Source organism: Homo sapiens, chromosome 22 (assembly GCF_000001405.40).
Source record: "Homo sapiens chromosome 22, GRCh38.p14 Primary Assembly".
NCBI lineage: Eukaryota > Metazoa > Chordata > Mammalia > Primates > Hominidae > Homo > Homo sapiens.
Window position 1 is genome coordinate 43,311,709 of NC_000022.11, and position 18,854 is coordinate 43,330,562.

At 48.7% G+C, this 18,854-nt stretch overlaps 1 protein-coding gene across 1 annotated transcript in view, besides 5 other annotated features; it reads right to left on the reverse strand.

The window, feature by feature from the left end:
* The window catches only part of SCUBE1 (signal peptide, CUB domain and EGF like domain containing 1), a 146,093-nt gene that overhangs the window by 114,429 nt on the left and 12,810 nt on the right, over positions 1-18,854 (reverse strand). The window contains exon 3 of the mRNA NM_173050.5: positions 8,229-8,357. Coding sequence (NP_766638.2) covers positions 8,229-8,357 — 129 coding nt within the window. The remainder of the gene's footprint in view (positions 1-8,228; positions 8,358-18,854) is intronic.
* Positions 414-994: an enhancer, noted in NCBI's record as "H3K27ac-H3K4me1 hESC enhancer chr22:43708128-43708708 (GRCh37/hg19 assembly coordinates)". NCBI's record gives its function as "activates a minimal SCP1, AML or CMV promoter by ChIP-STARR-seq in primed H9 embryonic stem cells {active_cell/tissue: H9 hESC(primed)}" and the evidence as "EXISTENCE:reporter gene assay evidence [ECO:0000049][PMID:30033119]".
* Positions 995-1,574: an enhancer, noted in NCBI's record as "H3K27ac-H3K4me1 hESC enhancer chr22:43708709-43709288 (GRCh37/hg19 assembly coordinates)". NCBI's record gives its function as "activates a minimal SCP1, AML or CMV promoter by ChIP-STARR-seq in primed H9 embryonic stem cells {active_cell/tissue: H9 hESC(primed)}" and the evidence as "EXISTENCE:reporter gene assay evidence [ECO:0000049][PMID:30033119]".
* Positions 2,241-2,742: an enhancer, noted in NCBI's record as "H3K4me1 hESC enhancer chr22:43709955-43710456 (GRCh37/hg19 assembly coordinates)". NCBI's record gives its function as "activates a minimal SCP1, AML or CMV promoter by ChIP-STARR-seq in naive H9 embryonic stem cells {active_cell/tissue: H9 hESC(naive)}" and the evidence as "EXISTENCE:reporter gene assay evidence [ECO:0000049][PMID:30033119]".
* Positions 16,553-17,327: an enhancer, noted in NCBI's record as "H3K27ac-H3K4me1 hESC enhancer chr22:43724267-43725041 (GRCh37/hg19 assembly coordinates)". NCBI's record gives its function as "activates a minimal SCP1, AML or CMV promoter by ChIP-STARR-seq in primed H9 embryonic stem cells {active_cell/tissue: H9 hESC(primed)}" and the evidence as "EXISTENCE:reporter gene assay evidence [ECO:0000049][PMID:30033119]".
* Positions 17,328-18,101: an enhancer, noted in NCBI's record as "H3K27ac-H3K4me1 hESC enhancer chr22:43725042-43725815 (GRCh37/hg19 assembly coordinates)". NCBI's record gives its function as "activates a minimal SCP1, AML or CMV promoter by ChIP-STARR-seq in naive H9 embryonic stem cells {active_cell/tissue: H9 hESC(naive)}" and the evidence as "EXISTENCE:reporter gene assay evidence [ECO:0000049][PMID:30033119]".

Sequence of the window (18,854 nt, forward strand, 5' to 3'; positions counted from 1 at the left end):
GAGTTACTGTGCCTGGCCCTAATATAGCACTTTCTACCCTTCATTAGAGTTGTGAATATTTCTGGCTTCCTCATGGACCTAAGAGCCCTGCGAGAGATATCTCATCTAATTAATCTTTACCTCTGCCCTATGCCTACCACTCTACATTATATCCTGGGTATTTAGGACCCTAAAACTCCCCTCAAATGGTTCTAAGCCTATCAGACGACACTTAGGCCTGAGTAAGACTTAGGCAAAAGGTGGCTGCTTTCAGGGTAAATGGCCAAAGCTTGCATATTTGCGTTAGGGTGTGTTGAGGCTCATCGTGGTATGGGGTGGAGCCAAGGGTGGGAAAGGCAGGGAGGGAGCAGGCATTGCCCGTGCTACCACTTTCTGGTGCAAAATCAGAGGCTTGTTAGGTGAGAGGGTTTTTAGATTACAAGGCATTTTGACAAATCCATTCATTCATTTATTCTACAAATATTTACTAAATGCCTACAATATATCTGACACTGCACTAGGTTCCAAGAAGAAAGACAGAAAGGTAAACAAGACAAATTCTGCTTTTGGGGAAGAAGAGAGGACCATGACACAGAGCTGCAGTGGAGATGTAACTGTGTGGCGTGGGTCACAGCAGACCTCTGAGCAAGGGGAGGTTTGGTTGGGGCTTGAAGGATGAGCAGGACCTCACCAGATCCCTGCTGGGGAGTAGCAGTCTGTCAACAGATTTGTGTAGGACTCTGCGGGTACAGGGAAGGCTGGCCCAGTGGGCACAGCTAAGCAAGGGTGAGAAATGGGGTTGGGGGGAGGCTGGTGGGGCCCTGGCCAGAGGGGTCTCAAGCTACTGTGGAAGCAATGGCCATGAGAGGAGGGTGCTGGAGCGGAGGGCTCCGTACAGTTGGATGGGGTAAGACAAGGTCCCAAGGGTGGCTCAAGGATGATGTGAGGTGCCTAAACAAGGCCACAAGCTCTGCCCTTGGCCCAAGGAGGCTGAACGAGCTATGGGGTGGAGGCGCCCTTGGTATGAGCTCTCTAGAGCAAGGGGTGCCCGCTGGCCCTTCAGCACACTCCCTGCCTGTGCCTGGCCTGGCACGTGCTGGGATTTCTGGATGCTCTCAGTGACTCCCAAACTCACGGATAGATACAGGCGTGCATATCTAACACCCTACGACAAGGAGGCCCTGGCCAGCCTCCCGGAGCTGGTGCAGTTCGGGCACTATGGGGCGGGGGTGGGCAGCAGGGCAGGCTTACAGGCTGAAATTGGCAAAATCCCAGACCTGGGCTCTAGTCCTAGCTCTACCACCTACTGTCTGTGTGAGCTTGGGTAGGTCACTTCCCCTCACTAGGCCTCAGTTTCCTCATTTGTAAAAAGAAGACACTAATGTCTTTGGATGCTGTGAGCACTAACAAGAGAACTGAGCACAGCATCCCGGGCAAATCCAGGCACACAGGAGGCTCAACCAAAGCTCCCGAATCTCACTCAAGTAGGACGGTCTACCCAGCACAAGGCTGGGCATAGGGTTGGTGCTCAATAAATGTTAATGAAATGGAGAGAGCTGGCTAATAAATCAATGCTTCTGAACCTGGATACAGATGACTTCTCTTCAACAGGGAAAAAAAGTGCCAAGAGGCAGGTCCAAAATTCAAACTGTGAGCAACTTGAGAGACGTATTTTTCAGTAAGTCAAGGTAAAGATCGGGGTCGAAGAAAACATCTGGCTAAGTGAACTAATGGCTTTAGAGAAAGAGGAGCCTTGCTTTGTGGAGACGGGAAGAAATTATCCACTGCTGGTTTTAATTTAAGATGAAAACAATCTTATTCTATTAGCCTAAATATTGCTCTGCTGTCCAATTGCATGGAGTTTGGAATAATATTTTTCAAACAGAACTACTGCTATTTCAAGTAATTACACAGCTAAAAGCAGCCATTTGGGGTTGAGCAAGATCTCATCATGGTTTCAATTCCCTCTGGTGTCATTTTCTGTTATATTTGAGAAATTCCTCAATAAAGATGTCAAATAGAGTGAGGGCTTTGCTCCCCAGAGGACAGACTTGGCCACCCTCCAGGACACAGTCACAGGCAGGCCATCTCCACAGGAAAATAACCTCGCTTACTCGAAAGAAAAGAAAAGGTTCAACTATGAAAACTTAGGCAAGAAAATAACTTGTAAGCCATCAGCCTCATTTCTCCTAATCAGCTCAGAACACTTTTCAAACTGGCCTGTTTATTTCTAAGGTGATCAGGGTTTTATCCCAGCCCCCATCCCTAAGGAATTCAGTGGTGGTTCAGAGAGGAATGTTACAACTGGACAAGACTCTTGACCCAGACTTCTTGAGACAAAACAGAGGAGGTGCGAACGGGCCTAACTATTCCTGATGGGCGATGGGCTGTGGGGTGAGGTTTAGTGACTGCCCAGAGGCAGCCAAGAATGCACAAGGCAGCGGAGACAGAGAACCTTCCAACAACTCAGTGGGCCACTCACAGCCACCAAATGCCCACTGGGGACAAAACCTTGTGCAGGAAGCTTTGTCAGGCAGCACAAAGAATTCCAAACATTTCCAGGCAGCACAATTTCAAGCAGGTAGTTAAATGGCCAAAGCTGGATGCAAGTAATAGGGAGTGGTGGAGACTGTGGCGAACAAGAGAGTACACACCCCCTCTGAAGCAGGCAGCTGCGGTGTAGTTCACTCTAGCTGCTGCCAGCACCACAGTGAGATGTGAGCGAGAGTGCTGTTGCCCTGGGCCCCCACACTTTGGGGGTCCCTGTTCTGCCTCTCCTGTGGCTGCAGCAGCACCCCCCTGACCCCACCACCATGGAGTAAGGGGTCCACAGGGGAGTCATGAGCACCTGGAACACACGCCTACCACTCCACATTACATGCTGGGTATTTAGGACCCTAAAACTCCCCCAAAAGGGTCCTAAGCCTATCAGACTACACTTAGGCCTGAGTAAGACTTAGGCAAAAGGTGGCTGCTTTCAGGGTAAATGGCCAAAGCTTGCACATTTGCATTAGGGTGTGCTGAGGCTCGTCATGGTGTGGGGTGGAGCCGAGGGTGGGAAGGGCAGGGAGGGAGCAGGCATTGCCCATGCTACCACTTTCTGGCGCAAAATCCAAGCAGTCTTCTAAATTCCAGTCTAGCCTCTAGGTCATTAGTTAGGAATATTTGTCAAGGTAGAAGAGGCAGAGTCATTCTTGTTTGGGAGCTTCTTAATTACTTTAATATTTTAGCCATGTGGGATAGGGGCCTCCATCTGGACTCCTGTCCCAAGTCCCGCAAACGTCAGGGGCTGGGTAACTGTGGCTGAGATGGAATGATGCTAGAAATATTGATTTTTTTTAATGTGATAACCCCTAATTTTTAAGTGTTGACAAATAATTTAATAAGAACAAATGATACCACCATGGGGACAAACCAAACATGTCTGTGGGCCAGATGGGGACTGTGGGTTGCCAGCTTGAAGCCTTTGCTGGAAAGTGATGACAATATCCAGCACCTGCACAGAATTTACATCTGTACACAAGCTCTGCACAATCTCCTTTCAGATTTAATCATGACACCGACCCTCCGAGACAAGTATTACTGACCCATTTCACAGTTAGGGGAACTGAAGCTTGGTGGGCTAGAGGAACAGGTCCCGAACTATAAAACTCATGAGCGGTGACACCTGAATTTGAGCCTAAATCTTCAAACTCCAAGCCCAGCTGACTCTTACAGCATGATTTATTTCTGCCAACACTGATTAAGCCCCATGATCCTAGAGTACGAGGTACTCCAGTTCTTACAGCATTTCATGGATGAGGGAGCTGAGACTCCAAGAAGTCGGTTAACTAGCTTGAGGTCACATGGTCAGGATGGGTTGGTGCCTGTTGGAACCAAGGTCCGGCTTCTCTAGAGCTGGAGTTTTGTCTTGAGAAAGAGAAAGCCTGAACAGAAAGAACTCTGTTGGGAAGGGTCTGCCCTCAGCTAAAGGCAGAGGAGCAACAGAGAGAGCCTTTTCTTGGCTGCTGTGTGTGCAAGTTAGAGCCGCGTGAGGTTGCAATCTGTGCTCAGAGGTGGTGGGGCGGGGGAGGGGGGGAACCTTACCCAGTTCTTTTAAATTAATCAGTGTAAACATAATCCATTGTGAAAACAATGTTGTTGAGACAAAGGCCCACACAGACTCACTGCTAGTCTGCAGGCTGCTGGCGTCAGGCTCTGGGGACACTGGGAGTACTTGCTGTAGCCAAGAACAGGGTATTTACAAACAGGTGGTTCTGCACAGGTAAGAGTACAGTGGCTGGAAGGAGAGTTCCACGTGTCAGGCACAGCCGTGGGAGCGCACATGGTGGGGACTGGTCCCCACGAGGTCTTGGAGGCATCAAACCACTCCACATCAACACATCTCATCTGGAAGCCAGTGACCAGATGAATGCTGGTTACATGTTGAATATTTGGTGCCAGACACTCTGCTACATGCTCCACGTCCATGATCTCATTTAATCCTCACAAGAGCCCTACCAGATAGGGACTATGCCTTCCATTTTTCAAGTGAGGAAACTAAGGCATGGAGAGGTAAAGTGACTGGCCAAAGGTCACACAGCTGATAGAGAAGGGCTAGAATTTAAGCCACAAACTGGCAGTTCCCAAGGTCTCTCCTCTTGGCCGCTGGGTGATATTGCCTGCTTTTAACTGGCTGTCCCAAAGGGACTGTCGGCTCTGTCTTCACTGACTAATCAGAGACCAAAACATACTCTCTCTATCATTTGAAAATGGAGCAAACAACTAAGAAAGCCAAGCACTTATGTTTTGGGAGGATTAAATGAGATAACTCTTGGAAGATACTTCACCTGGCATCTGGCACGATCAACGTTGTGTGGTCCCAGTTCTTCACAATCTAGTCAATGCCCTGCTCACCTCCACAGCCCCACACCTGCTGCTCCCTGCACGCACCAGGAGCTGAGCCTCAGGGGCTGCCTGCAGGTCTATGTAGGCTCTGCCCTTGGTCTAGCAAACTTATCCCCAACCTTGGAGGTTCCACTCAATGCTACCTTCTCTTTGAAGACCCCTAGGGAGTTAGCCCCGCTTCTACCCCCACACTCACTGCATCCATGGGTAGCTCTTCACAGGCCTCTCTGGGCTTCAATAACCTGATGCTCGGACCTCTACTTGGGTATTTATTCGGGGTGTAATTACATGCTCACAGATGTTTTCCACAACAAACTTATCTGACATCCAACATGGGTTGGACAAAAACAGGCAGGCAGGTCTAAGGCTAACACCCCATTAAGAGGGAAAGTTCCAGAGCACTCAGGACACCCAGTATCCTCTACCACACACCCACAAACCAGCTGGCACAACAGAAGCTTTGCTGAGCCCTTTTAGAAAGCCATAAAAAACCAAATGGTCGTTTGATCCAGTGGTTCCACTTTTGTGAAGCATTCCTAAGGAAACGATTGGGAAAACAGGGGAAAAAAATGTTTTATGCCCAGAACCACCTCTGGATTCTCATGGTAAAAAACAAAAAAGCAAACAATCTAAATGTCTAACCACAGAAAGGCAGCCGAGTCAGCTGGAGTAGTAATGCCTGCGTTGACTATTTAGCACCTAATAGGGGCTAGTCACTTCACACTGTCACCTCATCCTCACACGCGATCTTGGGAAGTGGATTACGCAGTTATCCCTGTTGGAGACTGGAGAAGACTGAGGCTCAGACACCATGTAGATAGTAACAGTTCTCGGCTGCTGAGAGTCCCCTGTGCCGAGCCTTTTTCTCGGCCATCTGGACATTATCTCAGTCACTGCTCACGACAACCCTGTGAGGAAGCTGCTTCTCATAGCCTCCCTCTACCAACAAGGGCCTGAGACCCAGACAATCAATAATGTATCTACGGACATGCTCCTGCCAAATCCATGCCCATATCCCCTGGGCTCCAGTTGCTGTGCCCTGGTTACCCAGCAGCCAGTGGCAAAAGAGGGCCTTGGGGACAGACACGTCTGCTTTGAGAGCCACGTGTTTCCCATGACAAGATATTGTTCTTCTGTGACAGACTTTGAACTCCCTCTGTTACAGGTTGAATTATGTCCCTTCAAAAGATGTTGGATTCGCAGCTCCCAGTACTTGTGAATGTGACTTTTGTTGGAAATAAGGTCTTGGCAGATGTCCAGGTTAAGATGAGATTGTTAGGGTGGGCCTAATGCAACACGACTGGTGTCCTCATAAAAAAGGAAAATTTGGACACAGAGCCAGACACACATAGAGCTGAGACAATGTGAAGACAGAGGGAGGATGCCATCTATAAGCCAAGGAATCCCTGACATTACCAGAAGCTATGAGAAAGGCCTGGAACAGATGATCCCTTGCAGCTCTCAGAAGGAACTACCCTGCCCACACCTTGAGTTTGGACTCCTAACCAAGAGAATCCATTTCTGTTATTTAAGCCCTAGTTTGTTACTTTGTCATGGCAGCCCCAGGAAACTGATACAGGTTATTAGTAATTTGTCAGACTGTGGGGCAACTAGAAAAATAGTGGTAACAGGGGCCACATAAAAATACCTGAAGTAATGCCTGAGGTAAGGTGGCGGGTCAAGCCTGTAATCCCAGCACTTTGGGAGGTCGAGGTGGGCAGATCACCTGAGCCCAGGAGTTCCAGAGGCCTGGGCAATATAGCAAGACCCTGTCTCTACAAAAAAACCCAAAAGTTAGCCAGTAGCAGTGGAATGTGCCTATGGTCCCAGCTATTCTGGAGGCTGAGGTGGGAGGATCACCTGAGTTCCAGAGGTTAAGGCTGCACTGAGCCATACTGTACTCCAGGCTGGGTGACAGAGTAAGACTCTGTCTCAAAAGAAAACCAAAATGCCTGAGGTACGCATGATATTAAAGGGAACAGCAAAGGGCAAATGCATGCTGACTATCTGATCACCACTATGGTAAAAACACACTTGGATGCAGGTGGAAGACTGATAGAAAACACACCAGCACAACTAAGACGCCTGCCAATTTCTTCTCCCTACTCTTCTCCTTTTTTCCAATTTGATTCAGCAAATGTGGACTACTCTTGTAATTATTTTTTTGTTTTTGAGATGGAGTTTCACTCTTGTCGCCCGGGCTGGAGTGCAATGGTGTGATCTTGGCTCACTGCAACCTCCGTCTCCTGGGTTCAAGTGACCCTCCTACCTCAGCCTCCCAAATAGCTGGGATTACAGGCATGCGCCCAACTAATTTTTGTATTTTTAGTAGAGACAGGGTTTTGCCATGTTGGTCAGGCTGGTCTTGAACTTCGGACCTCAGGTGATCCACCCGCCTTGGCCTCCCAGAGTGCTGGGATTACAAGTGTGAGCCACCACACCCGACCTCTTATAAATTTTATACAATTGGCTTAAAAATGTATTTGGACCATGAGAAGATGGAGGTATATAAAATCATGGGCCAAATTGTGTCACTTCAAAATTCCTTTGTTGAAGGAATTCAACACCCAGTACCTCAAAACGTGACTGTATTTGGAGACAGGGCCTTTAGAGAGATAATTAACTTAAAAATGGAGTTTGTAGAGTGGGCCCTACTCCAATATGACTGTGTCCTTATAAGAAGAGAAGATTAGGGCCAGGCGCAGTGGCTGGCCGGGCAAGGTGGCTCACGCCTGTTATCCCAGCACTTTGGGAAGCCGAAGCAGGCGGATCACAAGGTCAGTAGCTCGAGACCAGCCTGGCAACCATGGCGAAACTCAGTCTCTACTAAAAATACAAAAATTAGCCAGGTGTGGTGGCACGCCTGTAATCCCAGCTACTTGGGAGGCTGAGGCAGGAGAATCACTTGAACCCAGGAGGTGGAGGTTGCAGTGAGCTGAGATTACACCACTGCATGCTTGGGTGACAGAGCAAGACTCCATCTCAAAAAAAAAAAAAAAAAAAAAAGAAGAGGAGATTAGGACACAGAGAGACACTAGACACTTGCATGCAAAGTGGGAAGACCGTATGAAGACACAAGGAGAAAGAAGGTAGCCACCTGCAAGCCTGACAGAGGAGCGGGCCCTCCGAAAAACCAACCCTGCCCCCACCTCGATCTTGGACTGCCAGACTCCAGAACTGCGAGGCAATACACTTCTGTTGTCTAAGCCACCCAGTCTGTGGTATTTTGTTATGACAACCCTGGCAAACTAATACAGGAAGCCAAAGGAAGGAGAACCTTCTCATGGCTCCCAACTCTGTAAGCTGGAGCAAAGCAACAGGCAGGGTGTGCCCAGAGGGTAGGCTACAGCTGTATCACTCACCCAGGCAGTTGTGTCCATCGTGTGCCAGCATGAAGCCATCAAAGCAGGTACACCTGTAGTTCCCCGGGATGTTGATGCACTCGTGGACACAGCCCCCATTGTAGTAGTCATTCTCACACTCGTCAATGTCTGCAAAAGGAAGGGCATGAGAGGTGTCAGAAGAAGAGCCTGGTGGTCCCCTCTCCCAACACCATGGAAGCCACCGGGATCTGAGTGATTAGGGGATGATTCAACAAGTATTCACTTCAGTCCTCCCTGGGAGCTGAGGACTCAAGTATTATAAAAATGCTAATCATGTGTGGGGTGCCTTCCAGTTCCTACCACAGTGAACAGGCAAGATTCACACCTAGTTCTGCCTCCACGGAGCCAGTGTACAATTTCTGAAAACTAGCTCTCTTGAAGCAGGGGGTATTGAGTAAAATTAACTGCACATCCCCAAGAAGTGTAATCTCTGGAATGAAAGAAAAGTCCACTAACTCCTCCAGTGTCTTTCCACATCAGTGTCTGATGCCTGCATTTCAACTGCTCCAGCTTCCTTGCTATAACAAAGGCTCCTGTCTCATAAACAATGGCCAGTAGCCTTGATAAAGGTCACCCTTTTTGCTGTTTTAAGGCTTTTTCAACATTTCCCATCAGGGGTCAAAGGGCTATCAATTCTGGAGTTCCAGAGAGATTTGAGATACCCTGGAGAATGATAGGAACACGCCTAGTTAACCTTGTCTGAGCTGCTTCCACGCCCAAGTCCTGCTTGTAAGGCCATGTCATTACCTCTTCAATCCCACATTAACTCAGTGATGCAGGCACCATTCTCACTTCCAATTTTGCAAGAGCACTGAAGAAACCAAGGCACAGTGAGGCTAAAACCTTGTGGAAGGTCACACACCTAGGAAGTGGCACAAATGGGATTCGAATCCGTGGGATTCAAACTCGTGGGTTTCAGAGCCCAAGGGGCCTAACCCCGGTCACACCTGGCGTCCTTGGGAGGGCACCAGGCACAGCGAGAATTTGCCAGCCTGGTGGTGCCGGCTCTTCTGCAGGGTCTTCAGCATCCCCCTGAGACCCCTCTGGCCTCACTCATCTCAACCGGCAGTCACCCTGACCTCCAGAGGCTCCGAGACACGATGGGGAGAGAGGAGGGCCGGAAGTGTCCCCCACAGGGGAACTGGAACCGGAACCGGAAGTGCAGCACTAAGTGGAACCGGAAGTGCATCTCACGAGACGACGGAGTAGGAAGCCGGGGTCACTCCCCTATAGTGTAGAAGAGGGATTTTTGAGGCTGGGTTCCAGCTACGAAAGTGGGGCTGGGGCCATCCTGTAGAAGAAGAGAGCCTGTAGAAGGCAGGCCTAGCTTCCCTCAATTGCTGGAGGAGCTGCCGCAGGGAGACACGGAACTCCTTGCTTTCTCCATGCTGGTCTGGAGAGCAGAGCTACTCACAGTGAGGGGAAGCCATGGGGCCAATGAACGTTCAGGGGTAGGAGTGCCGGTCTGCAAGGTAGAAGCTGTTGCAGGAGGTAGTGAGCTCCCTGACTCTGGAGGTGTAAGCACTGCCCTGATGCCTGCCAGAGATGCTGCAGAGCAAAGGGGATAACAAACAGCAGAAGTGAACGCGCCAGAGTAAGGGGTCTGGGCTGTGCAGCCACTCTTGGTGTCCGTGCAGCCACTCTTGGTGTCCACCCAGCCACAGCGAGGGAAGAACAAAGTAGCCTGGGCTGGGTCACCAAAGGATCAAGAGATAGAAGTCCTCTCCTAATCTGCCTATAGGGGCACCTGCATCAGTTCTCAATTCTGCAGCTCATTTGAATTGGTTTGTTTTGTTTGTTTTTAGAGACAGGGCCTCACTATGTTGCCAAGGCTGGACTCAAACTCCTGGGCTCAAGGGATCCTCCTGCCTCAGCCTCCCTAGTAGCTGGAATTATAGGCATAGGCCACTGTGCCTGGCTCTGGGCTGTTTTTAATTCTGATATTTAATACACTTATAAATTACAAATAAACTTAAGGGAGAATGTGATATTTTATGTTTATTGAAAAGGCACATAGATTTTATTTTATTTATTTATTTATTTTTTTGTCAGTGTCTCCCTCTGTCGCCCAGGCTGGAGTGCAATGGCGCGATCTCAGCTCACTGCAACCTCCACCTCCTGGGTTCAAGCGATTCGCCTGCCTCAGCCTCCCAAGTAGCTGGACTACAGGCACGTGCCACCATGCCCGGCTAATTTTTTGTATTTTTAATAGAGATGGGGTTTCACCATGTTAGCCAGGATGGTCTCCATCTCCTGACCTCGTGATCCGCCCACCTTGGCCTCCCAAAGTGCTGGGATTACAGATGTAAGCCACCTCGTCCGGCATAGATTTTAAAAAACTGAGAGATACTGATTACTTCCCAGTCTCTGTTTGCAGCCCTGACCTTTCTCCAGAGCCCCAGATAGACTAATGCAACCACCTCTTCCCCTGGGTATTCCAAAGGTACTCCAAAGGCAACAAAGCTCAACTTTAACTCATCAACCTACAGTTACCTGGGGTTCCTCATCCCGGTGAATATTGTTTTCCTTCCACTGCTTCCTTAACATCAAATCAGCTACCAACGCGTGGTTTTTCTACACCCTTAATATCGTTACAGTCTGCCCACTGGCCACTTATTTTCACTACCTGTCAGCATGAGTATCACCTCACACCCGATTTGACTCAGCAGCCCCCAAACTGTTCCCTCCCTCCTTTCCTCCTTCAAGCAGGTGATTCAGGGGGAAGCTGGCCTGGTCCTAACTCTGGGGGTGGAGACTTAACAGTCTTATCCAAACAGCACGTGCCACTAGCAATTGCTGTTGGTCCCAGGGTTGGTAGGTGACTTAGGTTGGATCAATCAGACTGAGGAAAAGGACTTTTATTCTATGCTTGGGTAAAAGAAGTTTCTCTCATCTTGTACCTCAGAAGGAGGTATCTACTCCTGAAATATACACCAGCCCTTTTAATTCTCACAGCAACATTTGGAAGTAGGTGTTTTAACTTCATTTTATGGTTGAACAAACTAAAGTGCAGAGAAGTTAGATAATTGCTCAGGGTCACATAGTAAGTGGTAGGGCAAGGATCAGAACAAAGGTCTTTCAGTCTAGGAAGCCCACGTCCTTTCTAATAAGTTAGAATGCCTGTGACATGCCAGTCATTGACAAAATGCTTTATACATGATACAGTATTTCACCCTTGGCACATTTATACAGTGTACTGAGAAAGTACTATCCAATCATCCAAATACCCATTTACCCATCTATCCTTCTACTTGTTCTGCATCTGTCTATACACATACACACATACACATGTGTGCATGCCTATCTACCCAAATAACCAGCCAGCCAGCCATGCATCCTTTCATCCAAACACCCATCTACCCTTCCACTATCCATCCATCTACTCACCCTCAACCTATCCATTCAAATATCTACTCAACCATTCTTCCATTTATCTATTTGTGCTAAAATTTATCCATCTAAATATCCAGTGTGCTGACCACCCTTCCATTTCTCCAATCACCTATTCACCCATCCATTTATCCAGCCAAATGTTCACCCATACATCCAGACACGCATGCATGCATCCATCTGTCTAAATATTCAACCAGATGCCTATCCTTCCATTCATCTAAGCACTGACCCATCCAAACATCCATCCATCCATCCATCCATCCATCCATCCATCCATCCATCCAGATGAGAAATCCTCTCATCTGTATATTCATTGATTCAAATACCCACCTTTCTATCCAAACACATGTACACTCACGCTCATGCACACACACGCACATTCAAACACCTACCTACCCATTCATCCATCCAAACTTCTATTAACTCACTGATTCCTTCAAATATCCCTCCAAACAGCTTACAAAATACATACAACAATTTTTTCTAATAGAATAAGATGTTAGTATGAAGAAAAATAAATGAGGGTTGAAGAATAAGATAAAGCTGGTGAAAATATACAAAAACACATTTGATAACTGTAGCACAATGACAGAAGGTGGGCTGTGAGCTTCCTAAATGCCAAGACAAAGAAAGAAACACAATCAGTTATGGAGTTGCTGCATCTATAAGATGTAATCCAACTGGCTATTTTAATGGTGGTAAGGTCTGAGAAACGTCAGACCTCCTAGTTAGGGGATGTCTTCCCCTAGTTAGAGAATATCATACACTTTAATTTTCCTGGCACAGTATCAGTTTATGCCTGTTGTCAGGGCGTAATTATTAACAGCAGTTATTAACCTTTTCATTATTAAAATGATAAACTATCTGATCACCATACCCATAAGGCATTATAAAGATATCGTTGAATAGTCAATAAAACAACTCTAGCCATTTCCTGCCTTTGACTCCCCATAACGTAGGCCACAGTAATTGCCAGTGGGCTGGAGAGTGCAGGGATATTTGCTGCTTGCATTTCTTTCCTTAATCCATCCCCAATTAGTTCTCCCAGGCTGAGCATCTCTCAGAACAACCAGTTCCTCTCCAATCCCCAGGCCTGCTGTGGCAGCCAGCTTTACCTCCCAGTGTCCTGGATGGAGGACATTGGCTCCTAAACCAAACCTTCCCTGATTTTCCATGTTTGTACCTTGAAATTTTGTTCTAAAATCATGTAAGCCTCCTCCTTTAATACTTAAGAGATAAACACACAAACAAACCAGCTAAAAAAATTTGCCAAAGCAAGTGGATTTATTATTATAAAAACATATCCAGGAGTCGCCGCCCCTGGAAGAGGCACCACAGACCTCCAAGACACTCATCAGGCTCAGACCACTTTTTCAGGACTGACAGCCAGAGAACGAGAAACAGGCAGGTGGAGCAGGGAGATGGTAAAGCAATGGAGGGGACAGAGCACAGCTCTATGGATGTTTATTCTTAAAGGGCTGTTGTGGATTAAATTGTGTCCCCGCAAAAAGATATGTTGAGGTCCCAACCCCCAGGACCAGAGAATGTGATCTGACTTGGAAGTAGGGTCTTTGCAGATGTAATCAAGTTCAGATGAGGTCATACTAGATTAGGGTGGGCCTTAATACAATGCTGCTGTCCTAAGAAGAGGGAAATTGGACACAGACATACAGGGAGAAGAATACCATGTGAAGACACACAGACACGCGGAGAGAAGGCAGCCGTGGGATGATGAAGGCAGAGATTGGAGTGAGGCAGCTGTGTGTGTGAGGCCAGGGTAAGAGCTGCTGTCACACAGAAGAGGCTGAGGCTCAGGATCGCTGAGGACCTTGTCTTCAGGCCCCCAGCCAGTGGTTGCATTCAAGTGCAGGCTCTATTCCCGCATTTGGAGCCACATCCTTGGGGTGTGTGAGATGAATATTTTAAAAAAGTACTTCATGCTCCTAGCCAGGCGTGGTGGCGCATGCCTATAATCCCAGCTACTCGGGAGGCTGAAGCAGGAAAATCGCTTGGACTCCGGAGGCGGAGGTTGCGATGAGCCGAGATCGCGCCGTTGCACTCCAGCCTGGGCAACAAGAGCAAAACTCCGTCTTTAAAAAAAAAAAAAAAAAAAAAAAAGTGTTTCATGCTCCAAAAAGTCATTAAGGAGAAAAGTGGGGAAGAGATTTCATGGGTATTATTACTTTTCTTTCCAAGATCTGTACCTACCCTTGAGGTTGAGGAGGGGTGGTGACAGGGATGGTTCACATGAATGGAGAAAGTGGCAGGACAAAAGATCTGAGCAGCTTTCAGAGCCCTGACACAGGAGATGAGAAGTCCAGCAATTCACTCCAAGCATCCCTGTTCCTTCCCCTGCTTGGATTTTTTTTTGTTTTTAATGAAAACTCAATTCCCAACAGAAGACAGCTCCCAGCATCTAATAGAGCAGAGAAAAGCAGCACAGAGAACTGCTCATTATGGAATTTTTGAAAGGTCACCCAGCTCCGCTTTTTGTGTATTGAAAGGCAGCGTGCGCACACACAACCCCATGGCTGTGCTTCCGTGCCAGCAACGCAGGTTTGGAACCCATATAGGGTGAGGTGTTTTTTTTTTTTTTAATCATTTAATTCAAAATTGATTCTTGCTGCTTCATAAAATATACATTTACTCTGTGGTGTCTAGATTCTAAAAGATCCTATTGCAATGAATCAGAGAGCCTTTTCATTTTATTTTAATACTATTTTAGGGTATTTTCCTCAAAATCGGGACTGACTAGAAACATTCTCAAAATTAAGTATTTTTAAAGCATCCCACTCTCTACTCTCGGAGATCATTACTGAAAATGTCTTCTCATTTCCCCCTGAAACTGGCATTTTTCTAGACATTCCTCAAGAACAGTGGAGACCAAACGCTCTAACAAAGACCCCTTTCCTGGCTGGGCGCTAGCACGTCCTCTCCTTTGTCTGGGGGCTTTAAGAAAAACCGTGCCCTCCTTAGATCAGGCAACCATTCGGGGAGAGATGTATGGCTTAGGAAGTTGAGTCCTTATTGATGAATAAATCTTAATCCGGTTTGTTGGCTAATTATGCTCCAGGGAAGGTAGTTTCTTGGGCTGCCTAGCAGGAAGGATTAAGCCCCTGTCTCCGGTGGCTCGGGGTTAAGCTCTGGGTTTGTAATGACTGAGTAATGAGACGCGCTCTCTGAGGGCCCCTGGCATCCATCGATCAGGTTTCCCTTCTGCAGAGACAATGCCAGAAGTGGGCCCAGCAGTTAATTACAGGAAAGGTCAAAGGGCACGTAAAACTAACACACATCTATATACTTTTTCATTCCTAACTGCACACAATGACCATGGCTCAGCCAGAGGGTGGGAAGGTTCCCTCCCCTTTCCCACTCTGTGATTCAAGATAACCGTGGGGTTGGAGCTGCTCAGTGACCTCTCCCAGTCCGTTATGTGGCTTCAGACCTCCACACTTTGACTCATGCTGTTCCCTCTGCCTGGAGCTCCTTCCCCTCCACAAACATCTACTCACCTCTGCATCCTGAGCCCCAGCATCACCTCCTCCCTGAAGCTTTTGCTCATCTTCGAGCAGATCTAGCCCCTCCCCCAGCCCAAGCAGGTACTAGCATTATTCTTGCTTGCTTGTGTCTGTGTCCTCTGATGCTGCAAATCCATGAGAACGAGAACTGTGTCCTGTGCAGCTTGAGCCTCAGAAACGAGCAGAGCCCGAGCATGTTCAAAGGCATCCTCTGGGCATTGCATGAATGAACAATCACGACGGTGGCCTTGCTGACCGACTCTCATGACATGTCAGGCAGTCTGCAGGCCCCACACACAGGACTGCCCTGAGAGCTGGGTACCACCATGTCTATCTCACAGCAGCAAACCAAGGCTCAGAGACATTGCCTGTCCTGCCTCAGATCACACAGCAAATGCAAGGGGAGCCAGGAAGGGAGCCAGGCAGCTTGACTTCAGAGTTAGTGATGTCTCTGTCACAAGATCACATAGTCGATGGTTCTATTTACATCAAGTCTCCAGAAAAACCAAATCTGCTGAGAAAAAAAGCAGATGAGAGGTTTCCTAACACTGGAAGGGCTGAAGACTTGCGGGGTGGTAGAGGATGGTCAAGGGGCATGGAGTTTCTTTTTGGAGTAATGAAAAGATTCTAACATTGGACTCGGCAGGGTAGCTCACGCCTGTAATCCCAGCACTTTGGGAGGCTGAGGCGGGTGGATCACCTGAGGTCAGGAGTTCGAGACCAGCCTGGCCAACATGTGAAACCCTGTCTCTACTAAAAATACAAAAAATTAGCCAGGCATGGTGGTGCATGCCTGTAATCCCAGCTACTCGGGAGGCTGAGGCAGAAGAATCACTTGAACCCGGGAGGCGGAGGTTGCAGTGAGCCGAGATCATGCCACTGCACTCCAGCCTGGGCGACAGAGCAAGACTCTGTCTCAAATAAAATAAAATAAAATAAATTAAACAGATACTAACATTGATTGTGGTAGTGGACTGGCAATGTGAATATACTAAAGGCATTGAATTGTATACTTTTAACGAGTGAATTGTATGGTATGTGAATTATATCGCGATAAAGCTGTTTAAAAATAAAAGTCAAACAAGCTAATGCTGTCGGTCTTCTTCTCCTCTGGGCTGGTTGCATCTCCAGGGATCTCTGCCTGGGTGAAGGGAAACCACAAGGAGGTTGGCTCTGAACTGACCTCAAATGCCACCTGCCCAGCTTGGGGTCACAGTGGGGTGTGTTGCTCCCAAGAAGCAGGGGAGATTTCCCACCAAACCGATATGATGAAGACCAGTTAATTATTTCCTTTCTCCCTCAAAAATGCCCTGAAGCCCTTGCTGGGGGCTGCTCCTGGGCTCTGGCATCAGGACTAATGGTTGCTGAGGCAGCCTGGTCAAGTGAAAATGGAGCCGTTGGCGCGTGTGAGATGGAAGCCAGGAGAGACCACAGGGAACCTGCCAGGCTTGAGTCTAGTTCTGCCAGCCCTCAGTCAAGGCCCCTATTCCACCCTCCTGCCAATTACAGGCAGTCATTCCCCCATCCCCTTAGGGAAAGGCCAAGGGGAGGCCCGAGACCCAAAAACTGCAGGCTCTGTGGGGCTGCTCCATAGGCCCAGCCACCTCCAAGCTCAGGAGGACAATCACAAACAAGAAGTTGCCTGAAAACCTGGGCCGGCCCTTAGAATTGGTAAGCTGGATCCTAGAGCACCCTGGATTTTATCAAGGTGTAACTGAGGCCCAAAGAAGGGAGCTGAAAGACAAATCTTAGCAGATCAGGGGCTCATGGCAATTTGAACTCAAGGCTCTCAGCTTGGGCTTCTTTCTCTCATCTCGGGATCCAGCAGTGGGCAGGGCCTGAGCTGGCCTAGTGCAATTCGGTTTCATTCCCTTTCTCTCCGAATCCCCGGGTGGACTTCCTCTCCATTGTAATAAAAATAACAGCAGTGGCAACTCCACACCAGGCACCACCTTGATGGTAACTGGCTTAATCCTCCCTACAGCCAGGCAGAAAGGTCTTCATTTCCCATGGCTCATAGAAAAAGAAACTGAGGCTCAGAAAACTTGTCTTTCCCAAGATCACCCAGCTAGAAGGTGGTGAAGGCAACATTTGAACCTGGGCAGGCTGGTCCCAGACTCTACCTTCCTCACCTTGACACAATTGTCTAGAGAAGACGGCATCTCTGTGAACCAGGAATCTGGGGCCTGCGGGCCTTGTGAAGGATCAGGCCACCTCCCTGCCTTCTTCCCTCCCATGCCAGTGCTGTCCTGGGCCAGGCCCCTTGCCCTTAGCCTGGACCCTGGCCACAAGGGGCTGCCAGCCTGGAGCGGGGAATGACTCAGATACAGATGCCCACAAACTCTCGTGCTCCTGCCTACAGACTGGCCAGGACCAGGTCTGCCCGCAGGGCTGGCAGTGGGAAGGGACAGTTGGCTAAGCCCCACTGAAGCCCACCCCTCAAGCTGACAGACTGAGGCCAGCATTGGGCGCCATGGAAACGAGGAGCACCCTGAGGAAGGAGCTGCCCACAGCGAGGGTCCCAGGGGCCTGAGATCTCCTGCCCCTGCTGAACTCTGATGTCAGGATGCAAAGGCCGGAGAGGCCCACAGACTTGGCCCAGGCCACATAGGGCTGGGACCCGGTCTCCATGGACACACTCCCAGCTCCACTTCCCTCTGTACGAGAGGCAGGAGGTCTAGACAGAAGACATGGGGGTTCCTGGAGAGAGGGGTGCACCTTGAAGACCCTGGAGGGAGTGGGGAGTGATCAACGCCAGCAGCTGCTGTTAACCTAGGCCAGGCGTCCAACCAGCTGGCTGGGGTTTTACACTCTTTCTAGCCAGAGGCTGCAGCCCTGGCCCATCTGGAAGCCTGTCTTGGAGCACCCTCTGAGACCTCCTGACCTTGCCCGTTCACACAAGGCCCCGAGTCCTCTTTGTCTCAAAGCCTTTAGGGAAGGCCATCATCCATTTCAGTAGCATTCAAAGGCACACAAGTCCACGGTTTATTTTCTTAGAAATAATGGTTTTTGCTGGTTAGCATTCCTCTGATGGAAAAACAAATACAGCCACTGTAATAAGAAGCGGCTAAGAGGAGGCGAGAGGGCCCAGAGGAAGGGGGCAGAGAGGGGCTGCTGCCTGGGGAGCTGGAGGACATGGAGGGTGGGAGGTGGGGGCAGAGACCCCTAACCCTGGGAGAAATGGGGAATTAGAGAAAAAAAAAAAACCAACATGCAGATACTGGTGCAGCCTTCAACACATTCTCACAGACAGCGAGGCCCCTTCCCTCCTCAAATCTCTACTCAAATGCACATTCTGTAAGGCAGGTGTTGTGGCTCCCATGTGATGGATGAGGAAACCAGGGCTCAGAATGGTTAAGTCACCGCTGGCTCACGGAGTTAGGAGGGACCAAAATGCAGACCTCTAAATCCTTGCTACAAATGCTTCCATTGACCATCACAGCTGGAAGGAGCATCAGAGACCTGCTTCTGCTATGCTTTTCTAACCTAGCCCAGAGGACACCTCCTCTAAGAAGCCCTCCTGAATTTCTTCCCCTCCTCAGGCAGAGATATACACTTTCTCTACTTCATCCTGTCTTGTTTGTATTTTCATTGCTGCACTTTCCACATCCTGTTATGATCACATCTTTTCCAATCTGTGTCTCCCACAAGGCAGGTCAAAGGCAGGAAACATGTTTTGGCCCCAGCACCAAGC